This window comes from Homo sapiens, chromosome 17 (assembly GCF_000001405.40).
Source record: "Homo sapiens chromosome 17, GRCh38.p14 Primary Assembly".
Taxonomy (NCBI): domain Eukaryota; kingdom Metazoa; phylum Chordata; class Mammalia; order Primates; family Hominidae; genus Homo; species Homo sapiens.
Genome location: NC_000017.11, coordinates 27,580,124 through 27,598,725, shown reverse-complemented (window position 1 = coordinate 27,598,725; position 18,602 = coordinate 27,580,124). Strand labels below are relative to the sequence as shown.

The window sequence follows — 18,602 nt, the reverse complement described above, 5'->3', positions numbered from 1 at the left end:
AAAAAGAACTTTTTCTGTGACTGCCGTGTTCCAAACACACCCTTTGCTTTTACAAAAACCCAAACTGGGAGGTTTAGCAAAAGGCACAGTTTCAGAGCATAATAAAGACAGAGCAGAATGGGAGAGGAGGTTAATCAAATGGGCCATCACTCAATGCAGGGAGGGGAGGGGTGTGCTCAGGACAACGCGTGAATGTCAGGAGATATCCAGCCACGTGCGTGCTGAGGTGAAGGCAAAGAGAGAGATTCCTACAAGATCTCCGTCTCCACCGTCCCCAAAAGAAGTCCCAGGAGAAGCTCCCTGGCCTCCTGCTGGCTGGGTATGGCTCCAGCTGGGGATCTCCTGGCACAGGGAGAGCTGTGCCTGTCCTCATGGACCTGGAGCTCCAGAGGCCAGAGACAGGGGCCTGACCTGGACTCTATGGGCTGGAGACGGCCTGTGGCTGGGTCCAGAGCAAACAGGAGTGTCACAGTCACCTTCCTTCCTCTGGGACTGCGAACTGTAATAAACTGAAGGCTGAGACTGACTCTGAGGAGCTGCCAGGGAGGCCGAGGCAGCAGCTCAGTCCCAAAATGGGCAGGTGGGCTTCACTCTGCTGCTTGGAGAGGCAGACACCCCCAGGCCAGCAGCTGAGGGCAGGAGAGGCTGGAATCCTGACCTCTCCCCACAGACACCAGGCAGTGGGCTGGGGTGGAGCTGGAGGTCAGCTCTGGCTCAGGTCTACTCTGCTTTAAACTCCTGTGGGACTCAGTGTCTTCATCCACACAATGGGAACAACCTAATTCCAACTTTACATGGTCACCTATCTTATAAAGGGAACGAGAGGTCTCCTTGAAGGAGCTTACCCAGATCACGAGTGGGAAGCAGCAGGACCCCAGATTCCCTCCCTGAGGCCTTCTAGCTCCCTGTGTTGCTGGCCATGCCTCCTGGGAGCTCAGAAGCCAGTCCCGAGAAAGTGAGCACTGCCCAGGAGAGGCCACCCCATGAAGAGGAGGGCAGTGCGAGGATTATGTTATGTCAGACAGACTTGGGTTTGATCTCCATTCTGCCACTTACAGGCTGTACAACTCATGGCAAGCCCCTCCCTCTCTCTGAACCTCAGTATTCCCATCTGTAAAACAACAGCATCAACCTCAGAGCTATTGTGCTTGGGGCGCCGGACAAGTACTTCATAAACATCAGCTCTTAGCTGTGGCCATGTCTGACCTTGAATCTGCCGAACTTGGGTCTGCTGAGAAGGGGATCTGACTGTATCCCTTAGAACCCAGAAAAGCCTGGAGATGTGGTACCTGGGAAGTTGAACCTGCTGTCCCGCTGGCCAGGTGAGGGGTTGGGGGGCGTGGTGGCGCTGGATGGGTTGGATGATGTCGGGAAGGGCGCCGGTGAGGAGGGTGTGGAGGAGGTGGTGGAGGAAGGGTTGCTGCTGGAGTCCAGGTGATTCATGGCCGGAGGGTGCTCCTGCAGGACCAGAGATGTTGGGAATGGCAGGGCTGTCCTGGCCCCACCTGCCTCCCACCAGCCACACCCTCCCTTCCCCATCTGGAAAGGAAGCAGTCAGCCCAGGGAATCCTCAGGGTCTGACATTTTACACATCTAACATTTGAGGAAGGGCAGCGCACAGAGGCCCTCGCCTCAGTGCTCACTCCCCGGGGGGCTCCTGCTCAGCTTTCTGATTTCAGCTCAAGCACACTCTTCCCAGAAGCCTTTCCTGCACCCTGGCTGGGACCACGCTCCTCCTCTCCATCCTGGCACAGTTCCCAGCAGTTTTTCATCAGGGCACCGTGTCTACTGCAGATGTCCACGGGCACTTTCCTGATGAAAGTCTCTCCCACTACCTTGTGTGTTCCATGAGGCCAGGGTGACCGTCACATACTCAGTGACTGGCTCTGAGCTGGGCACACATTAGCATTTTATAATGAATTAAGTTCAGGCTCTGATAAATGTTATATCATGTCTGCTAGGCACCAGGCACTCTGCCAGAAGTAGGGAGACCAATGATAAGCGAGAGGTGTACAGTCCTTTTCTTTGGAAACCTGGCTGAATCAAAGGCACTGTGAAGTCTTAGAGTCAAACTACAAAACCCTGAAAGAGGTGATGGCTTGGGCTAGTGCGGTCTGCCATTTTGGAGGGGTAAGAATTCTGGAGCTAGAAAGAACTTTCTAGAAGATGACCACAGGAGTTGGTTTGTCAGGACAGGCCTGGTTCACTCATGTTGTCCCAACTTAAATGTTAATGTCATCCCTTCCACACTCAAAGCAAGCATGCTCCCCCTGCTAATGGATCACATCAACCAGTGCTTGCCATGGGAAACACGTTTGGTGCCTAGTGAGACATCTTTAGGAAGCCCTTGGACACAACACAGAGGATGCTGCGCCAGGGAGGAGGGGCACTCTGTTTCCTATCTTGCTCTGCCTGAGAGAAGGCCTCGGCCTGAGCTGCTATGTCTTTAATGCCTCTCCAACACTGGCTCATTGCCCATTCAACAGAGTGAGGGCTTCAAGCTCCAAGCCTTAAGCAAGTGTGATAACCAGATGAAGCTTAGTAACTTTTTGGTTTTAACTGTGCTTGTTTTAATGATTACTTTCTATCTGTAGGGATCATGGTTTTTCCAATTACGATAGTGATGATTACATAAAAATGAAGTGTTATAAGTAAGTATTAGCCCAGGTGGTACCTGGTTCAGACAGAAACCATAAAGATGGTTTTCAGCTTTGATGAAGTTTGGGCGGCACTGATTATCAACTCAATCCACGCTACGTGCCACCATGGCCCCACTGCAGAGCTCAGGGGAGAAGGGCCCAGGGAAGCCAAGGGCTTTGCCCACGGTCATGGGAGATGGGCCTGGCATGATCCCGGCTTCAGGATGCCTGTGGCCATGGCTCCCCAGCCACAGCACAGAGGAGACCCCTGAGAACGGCACCAGCATCTCACAGCTCCGAGCAAGAGCCTGTGGGAGCAAAGCACCACCAGACAGGCCTGGGAAGGGAGGGCTGCTGCACTAGAAATGGAAAAGGGGGGCAAAGGGAGAATGTGGGGGGCAGGGAGCCCTGGGAAGGGAGGGCTGCTGCACTAGAAATGAGAAAAGGGGGGTGAAGGGAGAAAGTGGGGGGCAGGGAGAGAGGCCTAAGCTCCAGCTTCTCCCTGTGGCCAAAAAGAGCACTGGGTTTGGAGGCAGACAGACTGGAATTCTCAGCCAGCTTCCACCACCACTTAGCTGGGTGACTCTAGGCAACTTCCTCCACCTCTCTGAGCTTCCATTTCCTCAACCACAAAAATAAAACATCAACACCTATGTCAGAGCGTTACTGCGCTGATCAGTAGCATCACAAAGGTGGGAGTGTGTGGTACATAGCAGGTGACTAATACATGTTTGTTCCACATTCTTTTGCAGACCTGCTAGCTAGGAGCACCCAGAAGTTTGGGTCCCAGCAAGGCCAAAAGACCAACAGAGAGAGGGCTCCAGGGGGATTCTACATTAGGCAGGACCCTGGATCTGACCAGTGCTTCCTGAATGCAAACATCAATTCCCCTGGGGGTGGGAGAGGAATTATTGGTTAAAGAAGTTGAGGCCAAGTTGGGTTAAATGCTAAGTTCAACAGGTTTATTTGCTGCAGGCTGTGAAGGCTCTGGGGTACACAGTGACCTCTGGAATCTACTGGCCAGGGATAGTTGACATCATGTGGTGCCAAGCTAGAAGTGGGAGCTGGATCCACTGAGCCCTCCCTCTTCTCACTCATGCTCCAAGGCTCAGGACCCTCCATCAGTCCCTCTGTGATCCTGGACAAATGATCCAACCTTTCAGAGCCACTGTATAGTATGGGGGTAACAGCTGCCAGGTCATAGCGTTGTTCAATCATTCAACAATCAATATGCTGGTTTCCTGACTGCCTATTTTGTGCTTGGTGCCAACGAGAGCAAGACAGCATCACTGGGCCCTCAGGGAGCATCTGTGCTGAAGGGGAATGTGGGGTGGGCAGGGGTGGAGGGGCAGGTAGCGGGAAAAGAGGTCAAAGGGGAACAGGATAAACACCTCTCAGCACCATGTGTGGCCCCTAGTGAGAACTCAGTAATGGTTAGCTTATGTTATCATAGCAACCTTCAGTGGGATCCTGGAGGGCCACTGCTCTCAGAGATGAGAGGCCTCTGGCACCACCACTGTATGGACTTAGAGGTCGAGCAGGTGCACGCAGGAGGGGCTCATGGGGAAGTTGGGACAGAGAGAGAGTGCTGTGAGGAGGGCTGAGGGGTGGTGTCCAGGTGGGTGGAGATGCAGGACTGAACATGATGGGCAGGTGGTCGTGCAGGACCCACAGGCATGGGGGGTGTGCTTGGTGTAGCTGGAGAGGAGAGGCAGGGGCAATTATGACATTGTTGGCAATGGGGGCAGGGGGCACTGCATTCCTGCTGAGGAATTGATCCTATCTGTGACGGGCTGGGAAAATAATTACTAGTTGATGATATGGTACTGCTCCCTACAAGTTCATGAACATTCTCTCTTTACCCTTCAAATACCCTGTGAATGAAGCATTAGTAACCCCAATTTACAAAGCAGAAAGTGAGGCTCAGAGAGGTCAAGTGGCTCACTCAAGGTCATGGAAGCAAGAGAGGAGTTGGAACTCAAAGCCAGGGCTGGGCAGCTGCTGTGGTCTGAATGACTGTGAACTCCCACAACTCACATGCTGAAACCCTAGCACCCAAGGAGGTGGTACTGGGAGCTGGAGCCTCTGAGAGGTAACTGGGTCATCAGGGCAGAGCCCTCAGGAACAGGACTGGAGCCCTCATGGAAGGCCTCGAGGGAGCTTGCTGGGCCCCTCCACCATGGGAGGATGCGGCACGAGTGACATCTGTGAGAAGGTGGACCTTCCCAAGACATCGAGCCTACTGGCACCTTGATCTTCCCAGCCTCCAGAACCATGAGAAACTAATTTCTGTTGTTTTTAAGCTACCCAGTCTATGATATTTTGTTACGGTAGCCTGAACACACTAAGACAGGACCCTATCATCTTTCCCGCTGCCTCCCCATTCTGGGTGAGAAGCTACCACCAGAGGGAAACGAGAGGCAGGAGAGAGGACAGGTGCAGGCCCATGGCAGACTGTCAGGCCTGGGGCAGCCGGCCTTCTTGTCTGACAGTAAGAGGTGGCCCTGGCTCTCTCAGAGCAGCCACTGAAGCTGTATCTTCAGGGTCCCCAGTATGAATTGGCCACATTGCCTGTCTTTCTCTTCCGGCCTGAGCCACATGGCCAGCCACAGCCACGGGGCAACTGGGCACATGCTCATCGGGGGGGCACACGCTAAGCCCCTGGTCTGGGGCTGCAGGTAGAACACACTTAAAAATACACAGCCAAAACCACAGCAGCCAGAAGCCTGCACCCAGCAGCCAGCCAGGATGGGAGCTGCTGTCAGAAGCCATCAGCACTGGCACCTCCCAGATGCCAGGCATACCTGTGCAAAGAGGCCCATGACAGGTGTGCCAACCCTCCTGGGGGACACAGGCTTTGCAGACTCTGTCTAGCTGCAGAGGACACCCGTCTGCCTCAGCAGAGAAGCCTGACCTGGCTATGGATGGAAATGCACTCTTTGTATTACTTTTGGGTGCATTCTTGTGAGGGCAGCAAAGCCTTGCTCGGTGGCTGCCATGGCAATTGCTTTAATGAACAACTGAAGGTGTATCTGCTGCACTGTGACTAAGGGCCCAGGTTTTGGGGCTGGGCAGCTGCCGAGGCTACCACTCTGGGATTGTCTCTTGCTCTCGGGATGCTGTGCTGTTTTCTCACCTGTGAAATGGATCCATATGTACCCTTCAGAACTATTGTGGGGCTCAAATGAAACAGCAATGGAAGAAGTTTCCAGTACACACTAAGCACACAGGAAGTGTTAGCTCAAAGGAGAAGGGACTGGGAATCACGGCTGTACCACCACAACTTAAATGTAAAGCCTCCTAGTGGCTCAAGATATGATCCCCAAGGCCACCCTCTGGCCACAAATCTGAGACGGTGGTGTCATGCCAAACTTCCCCACTGAGCCTCTGAGGCAGGGGTGCTTTATAGGAAGGAAGGCCAGTGGCAGAAGGGCGTCCTCCCCAGCATTACCCAGCGTACCTTCTTTGTCAGTGCTTTGGGGAGGGTTCCAAAATGGGGTTCGGCTGCTCTGTCCACCGGGTTGTTGATGTCCGAGGGGACAGATTCTGTCCTCCGAAGCCGAGTTACTGTTTGAAAAGAGGGAAAACCCATCACCAGGGAACAGGTCAAGCTAAAGATTCACCCAAATCCAGAAGGCAGAGGAGAGGAAGGCAGAAAACTCACGTGGCAGGAAGGATATTCTACAGGCAGGGGCTTCTTTGGTACATTTGTTGTGACACTTCAACCTGGTAAAGAAGGGGAGGTTGGTGTGCAAAGCACCACATGGGGGGGCTCAGGCACACAGGGGTAGCTCTGTGTAGCATTCACTCAGGACTGTCTCCATTTTCACACACTTCTCAACAAATGTTAGCTCGAAAGTAGAGAACATCATGATATTAATAGTAATAGCAGCTGCTACACTGAGCCACTATGCTGAGCATTTACCACGTTCTGCTGTCATCTATCCATCCTCACAGCAAAGCAGGTCTCATGATGCCCACTTCGACTTGCCCCAGGTTGCCCACCTATTTTTCCTTTGTAAAGAAAAGGAGACCCTCTACCCATATTGAAAAAGCTCAAGACAAATCTGAACTTACAAAAAAAGAATTAGACAGATAATGTTTGCTTTACCAAAGAATCCCAGGGACCCAAAGGGCAGCCCCTCCGGCTACATTTGTGCAATGGACCGTGAGGTCTGAGGGTCAGCCCCGGGCCAGGATTGGAAAGAACTGGATTCTCACTGTGGTCCTGCCTTCTGCACTGAGTCTTAGATTTCTCACTAATGGGCTGAGGGTGTCCTATCAACCTCATACTGCACCGCAGGACAGCCCTGGGCTCAGAGGTCATCCTGTGCTCCCCACATGATGGGAGCTAGAGGTCCCTAATGTAAACCAAGTGGCCAGGAGCCACAGGAGACCCAGACTAGAGAGAAAACTCAGCAACTCCCTAGAGGTCAGGAGAGTCGCTGGGAAAGTAATGGGTCCAGCTGATATGCACAAGACCCACCATCTACGGTCTGACTGGAGCCCAGATGCAATCACACATACTAGCTCAGGTTCTCAGAGCCATCCCCATGGTTGATGTATACATTAAAAATCAGGCCCAGAAAGGCAAGTGCCTTGCCCCAGATCACACAGCAATGCAGGGGCAGAGTGGGCTGGGCACCGAGCCTCCGAGGCCTCCCTGCATTAGGTGAGGACAGCCGGACAGCAGGGGACACACTCTGCCTAGCCCACACTGTTCCCTATCCTTGACCTTCCTTCCCACCAGAAACCACAAGGCATGAGAAAATAAAGTTGGACTTGTACAGAATCTGTACCCTCTGCTCACTCTCCCCTTCCGCAAGCCAACTCCCTGTTTTTACCATCGCCTGTCTGCCACCTCTCGAGGGCTACAAAATGCAAGGCTAAACTTCAGAACTCCTTACAGGTCCCAGAACAGTCCTCATATTCCTCCAGGCCTTAGTACAAGATGCACCCATGGCCTGGAATTCTCTTTTCCCCTTGGTCTACCTTGTAAACTTCTATTCATCCTTCAAAGCCCACCTCAAGTATTCCCTTCTTCCAGGAGTAACTTGCTTAGTCTCCCTGAAGAGACCTGATCACTCCCTGGTGTGCTGAATAGGACTATGAATAGCAAGCATAGGGAAGCGCATTTGATTTACTGAACTAAAAGTGTCTGCTCCCCCCACCCCCACTCCTCTTCCCATCACCTGCAATGCTTGCACTTCACTCCAAATATCATGCTCTTCTGGCACACGTGGCAGACCTGCGACAGCCAGGACTTGGTGGAGAACCTGCAGAGGGCGGACACAGGCACATGTTTGCACCAGCTGGGAGGCCAAGGCCCAGCCACAGAAGGTTTCCCATGGAGCTCCAGGGCAACTGGGAGTCTTGGCTCCATCCCAGAGCCCCTTGGCCCCCTCCCAGAGAGGACAGAGATACCCACGGGCCACTGCTTCTCCCCTCACATTTAAATTTCCCAGATGCAAAGTCATCATTGTCAATATGCTGAAGTTGGTGTGGTCATCTGGCAGTACCAATTTGGCAGCAGCAATCAAGAGTACAAGTGCGCATACCCTTTGACCCCACAGTTCTTAGGAATTCTTAGGAATTTATCCAACACATAGGCCCACATGTGTTGCAAGATATATGGACAAGGTATGCCTGCAGCATGTTAGCAGCATAAAGACGGAAAATAACCTATGTGTCCATCAATAGGAGCTGACTAAAATATGGTCTTTCCATACGATGGAATACTATGCAGCAAGAAACTAAAACAAGGACGCTCTTTCTGTGCAAATACGGAATGATCTCCAAATCACATTGTCAAGTTAAAAAAGTAAGGTACAATAAGATATGATCCCATTCACACGAAGTTCAAGTACAGGAAAAAAACTAAGCTATGACAATAGAAGTGAATAGTAACCACTGGATGGTAGCACTGTCAACTAGGGAGAACTAAAGGTAACTTTCTGGGTGCTGGAATGTTCTTCATCTTCATCTGGATGGTATACACAGGTGTGTGTGTATGAATACATAAATTCACATACACACACACACTTGTGCATTTTGCTCTACATAAATTGTATCTCCATTTTTGAAAAAACAGAGTATAGGATTGTGTATAACATATGCAGTATTTGAGTAAAAAATAAAGGAGGAAACATATATACATATTTGTTTGTATAAAATATCTCTAGAAGACAACACACAGCTAAGACCTCTTTAAAGAGGGGGTTGAGGAGTTGGGGACAGGAACAAGAGGGCAATTTTCTGTTGACGTTTCAACGTATCAGTGTATTTTCAATCCAAAATGTAGAACATTAAAGAAAACACGAAAGATAGATTTGAAGGAAGGATGGGGGCTGAGTGGGTGGTGTCCTCCAGAAAAAAAGTGCAAGGCTGGTCCACAGGGTGGGGAGGCCTAAGAGCAGAAATAACTCATATTTTTGGAAACACAGATTTTTTTTAACGTATATCACAGTAACAACAGAATGAATGCCAACAGTATTTAGGAAGTAGTTTGTAATGCATCCACCAACACTAGCTCATTTGATTCTTATGCCCATGCCAGGGAGTGAGGCAGGTCCAGGATTCTTAGTGTGCAGCCAAGGAAACTAACTCAGAGAGGTCAGGTGATGTTCCCAAGGTGCCACAGTTGGGATGCTGTGTAACAGGGTCTGGATCCCAGCTCTCTGAACTTAAGAGTTACAGAGCTTCTCGGTAAGAGATTCCACTGGTCCAGCAGAGGCCAAAAAAGGCCCCGAGCACAAGGGAAAGAGAACAGACTCTGGGGGCAAACAGCTAGGTTTGAATTCTGCCTTCTGCCTACTACCAGCTGTAAGATGCCTCAGACACCTCTGCAAATAGGGTTAATGCTAAGCCTCACAGGATTTGGGAAGGATCACAGATACGCCGTGTAAATGGAAGGTAGCAGAGATCCATAAATGTTACTCTCTCCACCCAACAAAGATGGGAGCTTCCGGTGGCAGGGGACGCCAAACTGCATGGCGTGCCTTTTAAGGAGTTGCGATCCGGCCTCCCCAAGATGCAACCAGGTCTGTGGAGGCTCACACATGCACACGTGCTGTCTCCCTCACTGGGTTTTAATTACTTCTCACATCAACACTGGGGGTGAGGGGAGCAAGAACCTTAGGGGTGGAGCCCGGGAATCTGGATTTTCAACAAGCTCTACAGCGGACTCTGATATGCGGCCAGTTTCAGGACTCATGTGACATCGCACTGGATGTAGGGAAGCTCCTGTGACTCCTTCCCATGACCCTGACCTTATTTCTCCCGGGACCTGTGTCCTGGGAAAGAAGGAAAGTGTTTTCCCTAAGCAGAGTGAGGAAGAGACCCGAGGAGGTGCAGATGAGGGAGCTGCAAGTCCATGTGGCCACCCTGGCAAGGTGAGGGCTCCAGGTAAGTGCAGGGCCATGTCCCACAGGTGAAATGGACAGGCCCGTCAGAGGCAAAGAGCTCGCTGAGAAACAGTGACCAGAACTCCTGGCCCCATCTGGGTACCAGCCCGGCTGTGCCCTGCTCCCCCTCCAGGCCCGCTGTGCCTACCTGTGCGTCACCGACAGCCCGATATCCCTCCGTACCATCTGTGGGGATCCATGCGAGAGATCTGCAGGGAAAGAGGCCGGATGGGCAGGCTGAGGAACTCCGCAGGCGACAGCTCGTGCCCATGACTTCCTAATTCAGAGACCACAGGCTAGAGGGGGGCGCAATGGTTTATTATATAAGCATCTCCCTGATCTATGTCCATCAACACAGGAGCAGGCCAGGCTAGCCCAGTGGCATGGTGTGGTTCCCCTCGCCTCGCTTGGTCCTCTAGCTTGCTCCTGGCCTCTGAGGATGGCTCAGTCAGCTGCCCCTGTGATGTTTCCAGATGAGGAAGAAGGCAGGCTGGAGAGGCAGAAGGCAAAGCCAGAGTGAGGGCAGAAGCTTCTACACAGCCCAACCTCTTGCAACCTCTCACCGACACACCACAGGCCCCCAGTGTGCAGGGGCTCAATTCTGGGTATTTCCTGGTAAATGGCTGAAGCTGTTTACCTCAGGTGGAGGGCCGAGGCTAGCCAGCCCATCCAGTGCCTTTCCAGGCAGAAGCCCCTGGAGGATATTCCTCTGGGAGAGGCCACTGCCAGATATGGGCAGATAGAACGAGGACAAGGTGAAGCTTTACCACATTCTCGAGTGGGCCAGCCCCACCCAGGTACAAGCCTGAGCCTCTGGGGACTTCTTGGGCACCCTCCTTCTCTGCTGAGATAAGGGCCATACGCTTTGGGATGCCCCTGCTGCTGGCCTTCCGGAGGACGTTCCCTCTCCCAGCCTGGGATTCCCCGTAAGAACAGGCATCCCTAGTGCAGTAGACAAGCTGCTGGAAGCACTCTCTCCACCCACCGGCAGCCCGCACATTCAACTCACGCCCCCATACTCAGCGCCATTGCCTCCCAGAGCCAGCCCATGGGTGGGCTTCGGGGGTCCGGGAACCCTCTGGACTGGTTCAGTAGAATGTTGTAGACTTTTCTCTGGAAAGAAGATCTAAGACTTTCATCCAATCATCAAGGTGACCTGTGACCCAGAAAGGTCAGGAACACAGTGCTCGAGTGTGGCCATCTCATGTCCTCTGAGTCAGAAGGTCCCCCGAGGGTGGCCACTGCCCCCCTCAATCCCAAGTGCTGGTCTAGCACAAAGCTGGACTCATGAAGTGCTGGTTCACTTGAGGCCAAGTACCACATAACCAACCTCCATGAGAAGGGTGTGCTGGAGGTACTGAGTCCTCCCACATCAAGGAGAGGGGGATAGGAACAATCTATCTCACCCGCAGCTCTCCCTGGCACATCTGCCATGAGGTTGACTTGTCCCAACTTCCTCCTGGGGCTCACCCCACCCATCAGCAGCCAAGACCACCAAAACACATGGGCATGACTGGGCGCAGTGGCTCACACCTGTAATCCCAGCACTTTGGGAGGCTGAGGCAGGAAGATCACCTGAGGTCAGGAGTTTGAGACCAGCCTGGCTAACATGGTGAAACCCCGTCTCTATTAAAAATACAAAAATTAGCCATGTGTGGTGGCAGGCACCTTTAATCCTGGCTACTCGGGAGGCTGAGGCAGGAGAATTGCTTGAACCCGGGAGGCAGAGGCTGCAGTGAGCTGAGATTGCACTACTGCACTTCAGCCTGGGTGATAGAGCGAGATTTCGTCTCAAAAGAAAAAATAATTAAAAAACACATGGGGCCAAAGGTGCCAGCTACCAGCCTAGGAGAAACAGACTATGTTGGAACTTCAATCAATTAGCCCCAAAAGCCACCTTATGATCTGCACCAACTTCTGGGGGCATGGGCAGTGAGGTGGTGTATGTGCCAAGCACCGCCTCCATCTGATCTGCATGGAGACACTGGCCCTGAAGGCCTAATAATCTCACTGCTCCAGTCCCCGTGTTACCACAGCAATTGGAGGATGACAAGGCTGGGGCTGTCCTAGAGATGGGGGTGTTGAATGTTCCTCCAAGGTTCTGTGAAGGGCCCTGGGAGTTTCTGCCCGGGCACTAAGGGAGGGAAGTGTAGCTCCTCTTCATGCTCCCCCTGTGCCTCCCTGGGGTTCCTACAGCCAGCTCCACTTCAGCATAGTCCCTGCCTGCTGTACCCCTCCTCATCCCCAAGACCCCGCCCACAGCTACGTGACTCTCCTTAGCCAGCTCGGGATAGTACAAAAATAAACTCCTATTTTGCTCAGGCAAAAACCAGACATCTCTGCATTTCCAGACAATTAAAAGCAGACTCCAGAGGCACAGCTGTCTCCCTCCGCTCTGACTCATGAGAGAGGCCCCACAGCATAGCCACGTGCAGGAACGTGCTCCCAACCTGGAGGTGGGGGTGGGAAAGGGGGTCAAGGGTTGCCCAGGTGTCCTCTCCTCCCAAAGGGGCTTCTGCATCTCCCATCTTTTGGGGCCTCATTCAGAGCTGCGCTACATTTCTGCCTCCAGGAATGTCCCTTTCCTGAAGAGTGGGATCCCAGGACATCAGGTGGGGTTCTGGAGATGGCTAAAGTCTAGCGAAATCAGGCAGATGGCACCGCCTTCCCAGGGGTGCTGCTTTACCGTGGCAGCCCAGCAGGCCAGAGTCCCTGCTGGAGAGTCTCGGTGGGGAAGGGCAAGGTGGAGACAGGGCTCTTCATGGGGCTGCCTGTGGGCTGAGATGTGCTCAAGGTCTCTGATTCTCAGAGAGCAGCCACCAGCTGGGCTGAAGCCAGCCAGTCACTTTAAGGCCACCTGTCTTAGGGCTATTTCCTGAGGTGGTCACCAGCACCTCTGCTTCTGGACTATGGAGAGGCTGAACGGGCTAAGAGGTGGGTCAAAGAGGTCCACCCCCGATGGGGACAGCAACGCACACACGACTCCCAGGTGGTAGAGGGGATGGAAATGAATCTCTCTTACCAAACCTGGAGGAGACAAAAAGCAGAGAGGGGGATTACGTCACCACGCTGGCTCGGCGTGTTCCTAGAACACTACCCTTGGGCGGGAGCAGGCAAGGGGCTGGGACGTAGGACTCTGAGGCCTGGCTTGAGGCCAGACTGGCTGATTGACTCTGGGAACCCCTGCAATCTCTGTGGGGACATTTCCTCAATGGAAAGGACTAGAAGGGCATTCCCCAGGCCTCCCCAGGGGACATCTAAACTCAGTGCTGTGCACTTTAATACATTAGCTTACGTAAGCCTCGCCAGCAACCAAGCATGGTAATTAGAGTTCAGCCCATTTCACAGTCAAGAAAACTGAGCCTCAGGAGGCTCAGTAGGTCACATGGCTCACAGTGGGAGAGCCTGGCCCAGAGCCAGGCAAGAAAAGGGGTCAGTCAGCTGGAGAGACCAGGCCTGGTGGCTCATGCCTGTAATCCCAGAACTTTGAGAGGCTGACACGAGTGGATCACCTAGGTCAGGAATTCAAGACCAGCCTGGCCAAGGTGATGAAACCTTGTGTCTATTAAAAATACAAAAATTAGCCAGGTGTGGTGGCACATGCCTGTAATCCCAGCTACTCGGGAGGCTGAGGCAGGAGAATCGCTTGAATCCGGGAGGTGGAGGTTGCAGTGAGCCGAGATTGCGCCACTGCACTCCAGCCTGGGCAGCAGAGCAAGACTCCTTCTCAGAAAAAGAAAAAATAACTATCAGTTGGCAAGGGTGTGGCTGGACAGGAGGGCAGAGATAACAGCTGTGCAGAGCAGAGGTAGCCCCTGAAAGGAGAGTCAGGCAGGGACACACCCTGAGCCTCCCCAGGGGGCAGCCACTGCCCCTGAGAACACATGGAGCTGGAGGAAGCAGAGCACTCAGGGGTCACCAGAACAGCGAGGTGGCCTGAGCGTCACGTCAGTGCTGGTTCTGGTAGCTCTGCAGGGACTGGACTCAGAATCCCAGGGTCTGAGGCTCAGTCACTGGCTGGAGTTTGAGGCTAGTTGTGTCATCTGCCTGAAGCTGTGTCCCTGCCACCTTCTAGCATGGGAATGAGACCACAGCTTTCCTAATGCTCTTCTTGGGAGAAGACAGAAACACAGGGACTGGGTTGAGCCCACTGTGAGGCCTCCTCTGACTGACCCATGTTCGTGTGGCCATCATCACTGCATTCTACAGCCCCTTCTGGGTGGGACCCAGGCCCCAGCAGGACAGCCCGAGTGGGAGCAGCAGGGTCGGTGACACCTGGATCTCTCCTCCTTGGGCAGCATACTCAAACCCATCGGAGCTGTCCAGGCTCCATCCCATAAAGGACCCTAACAGCATGCACTGGGAGAGGGGATCAGGCCCGTTCCAAAGATGACTCCAAGGCCCAAGATACACCAGGGCCCAAGGAACCCCCTAGAAAAAGGGTGCCCTTATTGCTTCTCGGCCTTTTGGCTAAGATCAAGCGTAGGAAAGGGGTGCCCATGCCGAGGAGAGAAACCAGGTGCCCCAATCCTCAGGGGTACAAGAAGGTAAGAGGCACCCAAGGAAAACACTCCCTTTCTTTCTGTGCTGCCAAGGGTATACTGACAAGGGCAATCTTTGTAACAAAAAAGACAATGATCTAACGCCCATCAAGAAGGGACAAGATAAACTATACAACGAAATAATATGAACAAGTCAAACAAATGGGGTTTAATTAATTATAGACATACACAAAACTGCTAGCCTGGTTGGCTCCTGAAAGGGGAACCCTGTGACTGAATAAAAATGGTGGGGTAGAGTTTTCACCACGTACCCTGAGAAGCCACAGAGCTGCTGCGCTTTGGACCATGTGACTGTCTCACTTGTTCAAAATATATAGATAGAAAAATTTGTAAGTCAAAAACTAAACAAAAGAGTAAAACATTCCAAGATGTACTGACATGATGTTCTCAGAGATACCAAGGGAAGTTGAAAAAACAAGTCATGGGACAGAGTAGATGGTATGGTATCTGACAGTCACTAGTGGTTTCTGCCAAATATTCCAGTTCTCCCCTCCTGGGCGTGTGGGCAAAGAGCACTGTTTCATTCTCCTGTTCAGGTTGGGCCAGGAATGGTGGGTGGAACTTCCAAGAAGGAGTACGCAGCTGCCAGGGCATGACATCTGGAACTCACTTCTCCCTCTGCCACCGTGGCCAGCAATGTTCAGACAGTCTGGGCCCGGAAGGAGGCTGACCCATGATGGACAAGATGGACAAGGCGGCATGAGCAAGAAACAAATCTTTGTTCCTTTAAGACCTGGTGATTTGGGCATATCTGTTATTTCTGTGTAACCTGGCCTACCCTGACCCATACGTGGCATCACGTCATGTGCATGTACGTGTACATACAAAACCAAATCTAGAAGGATTCAGCCCACACCACTAAAGTAGTCTGAGGAATGGACTGAAAGATGGGGGCACCTTTTACTTTTGACTTTACACACGTCTATAGGGGTTGATTTTATTGGTCCTTCCATATATCTTTATGATTAGAAAACCACAGAGGGCACTTTTGGTAGCTGCCCAGAAGGAGCACTCACCTCATCGAGGAGACGTCATCAATGCGGTTCCCCAGCTGAGACTCATGGGACTTGCTCCGGGTGAGTGTGGGGAAGCTGGGCAGCAGCTGGAAGACCTTGCGGCTGGGTGGGGGGGGCGTCCGTGGTGGCTTCAGCTTGGTGTGCCGTCGCAGCTGGGGTGTGGTGGGCGGGGTGATGAAGCTGTGCAGGGCACGGGGGGTCAGCCGGCCGCTGGCGTGCAGGGGAATACAGGTGTCTGAGAGGCCCTCACTGAAGCTGGGGGTGGGGGAGTCTGAGGCGGGCAGAGCTGACACGGAGATGGAGCGTGGGCCCTGGGCGCTGTTGCCTGCTCTGCCCAGCTGGGAGCTCCCTGGGGGCCAGGGCAGGCTGGCTGCTGAGAGGGTGTCCGTGGAAGGCCCTGAGCCACTTTCCCGCCGCGCATCCAATGAACTCCAACTGGAGTCCTCCTTGTGCTCCCCTCCTGTGGACCAAGACGTGGAGTCACAGATGGTCAGGGCTGGAAGGAATTCACAGGGGAGATGGCTAGGGGCCAGAGATGTTCAACACCTGGTGTGAGGCTGCACTGTTTCTTAAGGGAAGGCTTCAACTACCAACCTTTACCTGGTTTATAAAGGCCGCTCACTCATGCGCACACATTATCTAGCCAACCATGAGGCCCTCGGCGCAGATACTACCACAGGTTGAGCATCCCTAATCTGAAAATCCAAAATCCAAAACGCTCCAAAACTTGGGAATTTCTGAGCACCGACATGACACTCACAGGAAATGCTCATGGGAGCACTCTGGATTTGGGGATGGGGAATGCTGAACAGGTAGGCATACTGCAAATGCTCCAAAATCTAAAAAAACCCAGACTCTAAAACACTTCTTGTTCTAAGCATTTCAAATAGGGGATACTCAACCTGGATCTCTGTTTTACAGAGGAGGAAGCACAGCCCAGAGAGGAACTGGCTCGTGCAGGGCTCTTATGGGCAGGTCTTGGGGGAGCAATCCAGGAAACCCACCCCAAAAGTGGGGTGACCTCAGAAACCGAAGGGGTGACCAATCTTTAAGAGTTAGGAAAGGGAAGCTGGGTGTGTGAAGGAAGGAAAAACTCCACTTTAAGAAAATTCAAACATTGGGACGAGGGGCTATTCTGAGCATCCAACAGCAAAGTGCTCTGGGGCTTGTGAAAAAAGATCCAGGAAGAAAGGGATCAACAGCCACTTCCTTCTACACCAGCCTTCGAGTGACTGTGGGCTGCCCCTACCATGATCCTGTGCCTGAGGCCCCCGAGGCTTGTGTGGCTCTGTAGTGTTTGAGCTACAGCCATTCAAGCACATGCTGGATGCTGGGTGGAAAGGCCTAAAAAGACCCATCCTTGTGCTTGTAGAGTCGAATGGGCATGACAGGCACATAACACACTATGTATGCTCTGTGCCAGGACAGGGGGCTCTGCAGAAGAGCAGACCTTAAATCAGCTGTGGGGGTGGAGAGAGGGAGTGTGCCAGGGAAGGTTTCCCAGAGGAGGTGGCACCTGGGAGCCACCTATGAAGCTAGCTCCACATGAGCCAGCTATGGAAGAAGGTGGAGAAGGAGCACCAGGCAGAGGGAACAGCATAATGGGAAGGTAAGGGCATACGGCACCTTCTGGTCACTACGAAGAGTTCTGTGTGCTGTCAGAGGTAAGGACAAGCTGGGGAGAGGCAAGGGATGAAGCTGGGGGGGTCAGCCTAGTGGGGCCAGATCAGGAAGGGCCTTGAATGTCTTGCTAAGAACTTTAAATCTCATATTGAATTGTAATCCCAATGTTGGAGGTGGGGGCTGGTGGGAGGTGACTGGATCATGGGCGTGGTTTCTCATGACTGTTTTGGCACCATCCTCTTGGTGCTGTTCTCGAGAGAGTGAGTTTAAAAGTGTGTGGCACCTCCCTGCCCCCTCTCGCTCTTGCTTTTGCTCCTGCTCCTACACTGTGGGACGCCTCACTCCCCCTTGCCTTCCGCTATGCCTGGAGCCTTCCCGATGCCTCTCCAGAACCAGAAGCTGCTATGCTTCCTGGAGAGCCTGCAGAACCATAAGCCAAGTAAACCTCTTTTTTATATAAATTATCCAGTCCTGCAGATCACCAGGTCAGGAGTTCGAGACCAACCTGGCCAACATGGCAAAACCCTGTGTCTACTAAAAATACAAAAATTAACCAGGTGTGGTGGTGCATACTGGTAGTCCCAGCTACTTGGGAGGCTGAGGCACAAGAATCGCTTGAACCCGGGAGGCAGAGGTTGCAGTGAGCCAAGATCGCGCCACTGCACTCCAGGCCGTCTCATAAATAAATAAATAACCAATCCAGTTTCAGGTATTTCTTTACAGCCTGTGAGAAGGGACTGACGCACCTGTATTGCACAAGCCCTGCCTCCCTCCTCCCTCCCGCAATATCTGTTCTTCTCCCCAGTGTACAGTGGAGGTCACTGTGACTCAGGGAGGCCACAGACACTGCCCAAGGCCAGAGAGCTAAGAAAGTGGTGGGATGGGAATTGAAAACATCGATCTCAGCACCGTGCTCCCCACCTTGCCCCCGACAATGCTACTGATTCTGAATAACCTAGAGCGGAACAGCTGTGGGAGGTAACAAGCTCCATCAGAGGTGGTCAAGCCACTTCTCAAGAATAGGGGGGATGAATTAGCCTTCCCAATTCATAAGTTTCTTTGCACATCCCATCCCCTCTTCAAACACCCTTCCTCCCACCTGACTGCAGTGACTTTCTATTCAGGAACCGACTAGACAGGAGTTGCTCAGTCCCTGTGCTCCCATACCGCTTGCTCCTTACGAGCTACAGCCATGACTGACACTGTAGCTCATAGACTGGCCTACTGGAGGCACCAAACAGGTTTCTTATTGAGCAGATGAAAGGATGAATTTCATGAATCTATGAGTAAGCCTGCTACCAAAGGGAGCAAGCTTGCCACCAAAGGAAACAAGCCCCAAAGTTGCAAGTTGCCTATTTA

The 18,602-nt window shown here is 52.6% G+C and overlaps 1 protein-coding gene across 24 annotated transcripts in view, besides 2 other annotated features; it reads right to left on the bottom strand.

Annotated features, from left to right (window-relative positions):
• KSR1 (kinase suppressor of ras 1) overlaps positions 1-18,602 on the bottom strand; it is a 169,988-nt gene that overhangs the window by 27,710 nt on the left and 123,676 nt on the right. For 17 of the 24 annotated variants that reach the window (XR_934587.4, XR_007065523.1, XM_047436989.1 and 14 more), the window contains 7 exons: positions 15,621-16,080; positions 13,065-13,069; positions 10,191-10,251; positions 7,832-7,915; positions 6,304-6,365; positions 6,100-6,206; positions 1,290-1,458 (listed from right to left, as the gene is read on the bottom strand). Coding sequence is in view for 22 of the 24 variants with exons in the window: in XM_047436989.1 (XP_047292945.1) it covers positions 1,290-1,458; positions 6,100-6,206; positions 6,304-6,365; positions 7,832-7,915; positions 10,191-10,251; positions 13,065-13,069; positions 15,621-16,080 (948 nt within the window). In the remaining 2 variants the exon portion in view is untranslated. The other 7 variants (NM_001394584.1, NM_001394585.1, XM_047436994.1 and 4 more) reach the window with 5 other exon arrangements.
• Positions 7,424-7,923: an enhancer, noted in NCBI's record as "H3K4me1 hESC enhancer chr17:25917829-25918328 (GRCh37/hg19 assembly coordinates)". NCBI's record gives its function as "activates a minimal SCP1, AML or CMV promoter by ChIP-STARR-seq in naive H9 embryonic stem cells {active_cell/tissue: H9 hESC(naive)}" and the evidence as "EXISTENCE:reporter gene assay evidence [ECO:0000049][PMID:30033119]".
• Positions 7,924-8,425: an enhancer, noted in NCBI's record as "H3K4me1 hESC enhancer chr17:25917327-25917828 (GRCh37/hg19 assembly coordinates)". NCBI's record gives its function as "activates a minimal SCP1, AML or CMV promoter by ChIP-STARR-seq in naive H9 embryonic stem cells {active_cell/tissue: H9 hESC(naive)}" and the evidence as "EXISTENCE:reporter gene assay evidence [ECO:0000049][PMID:30033119]".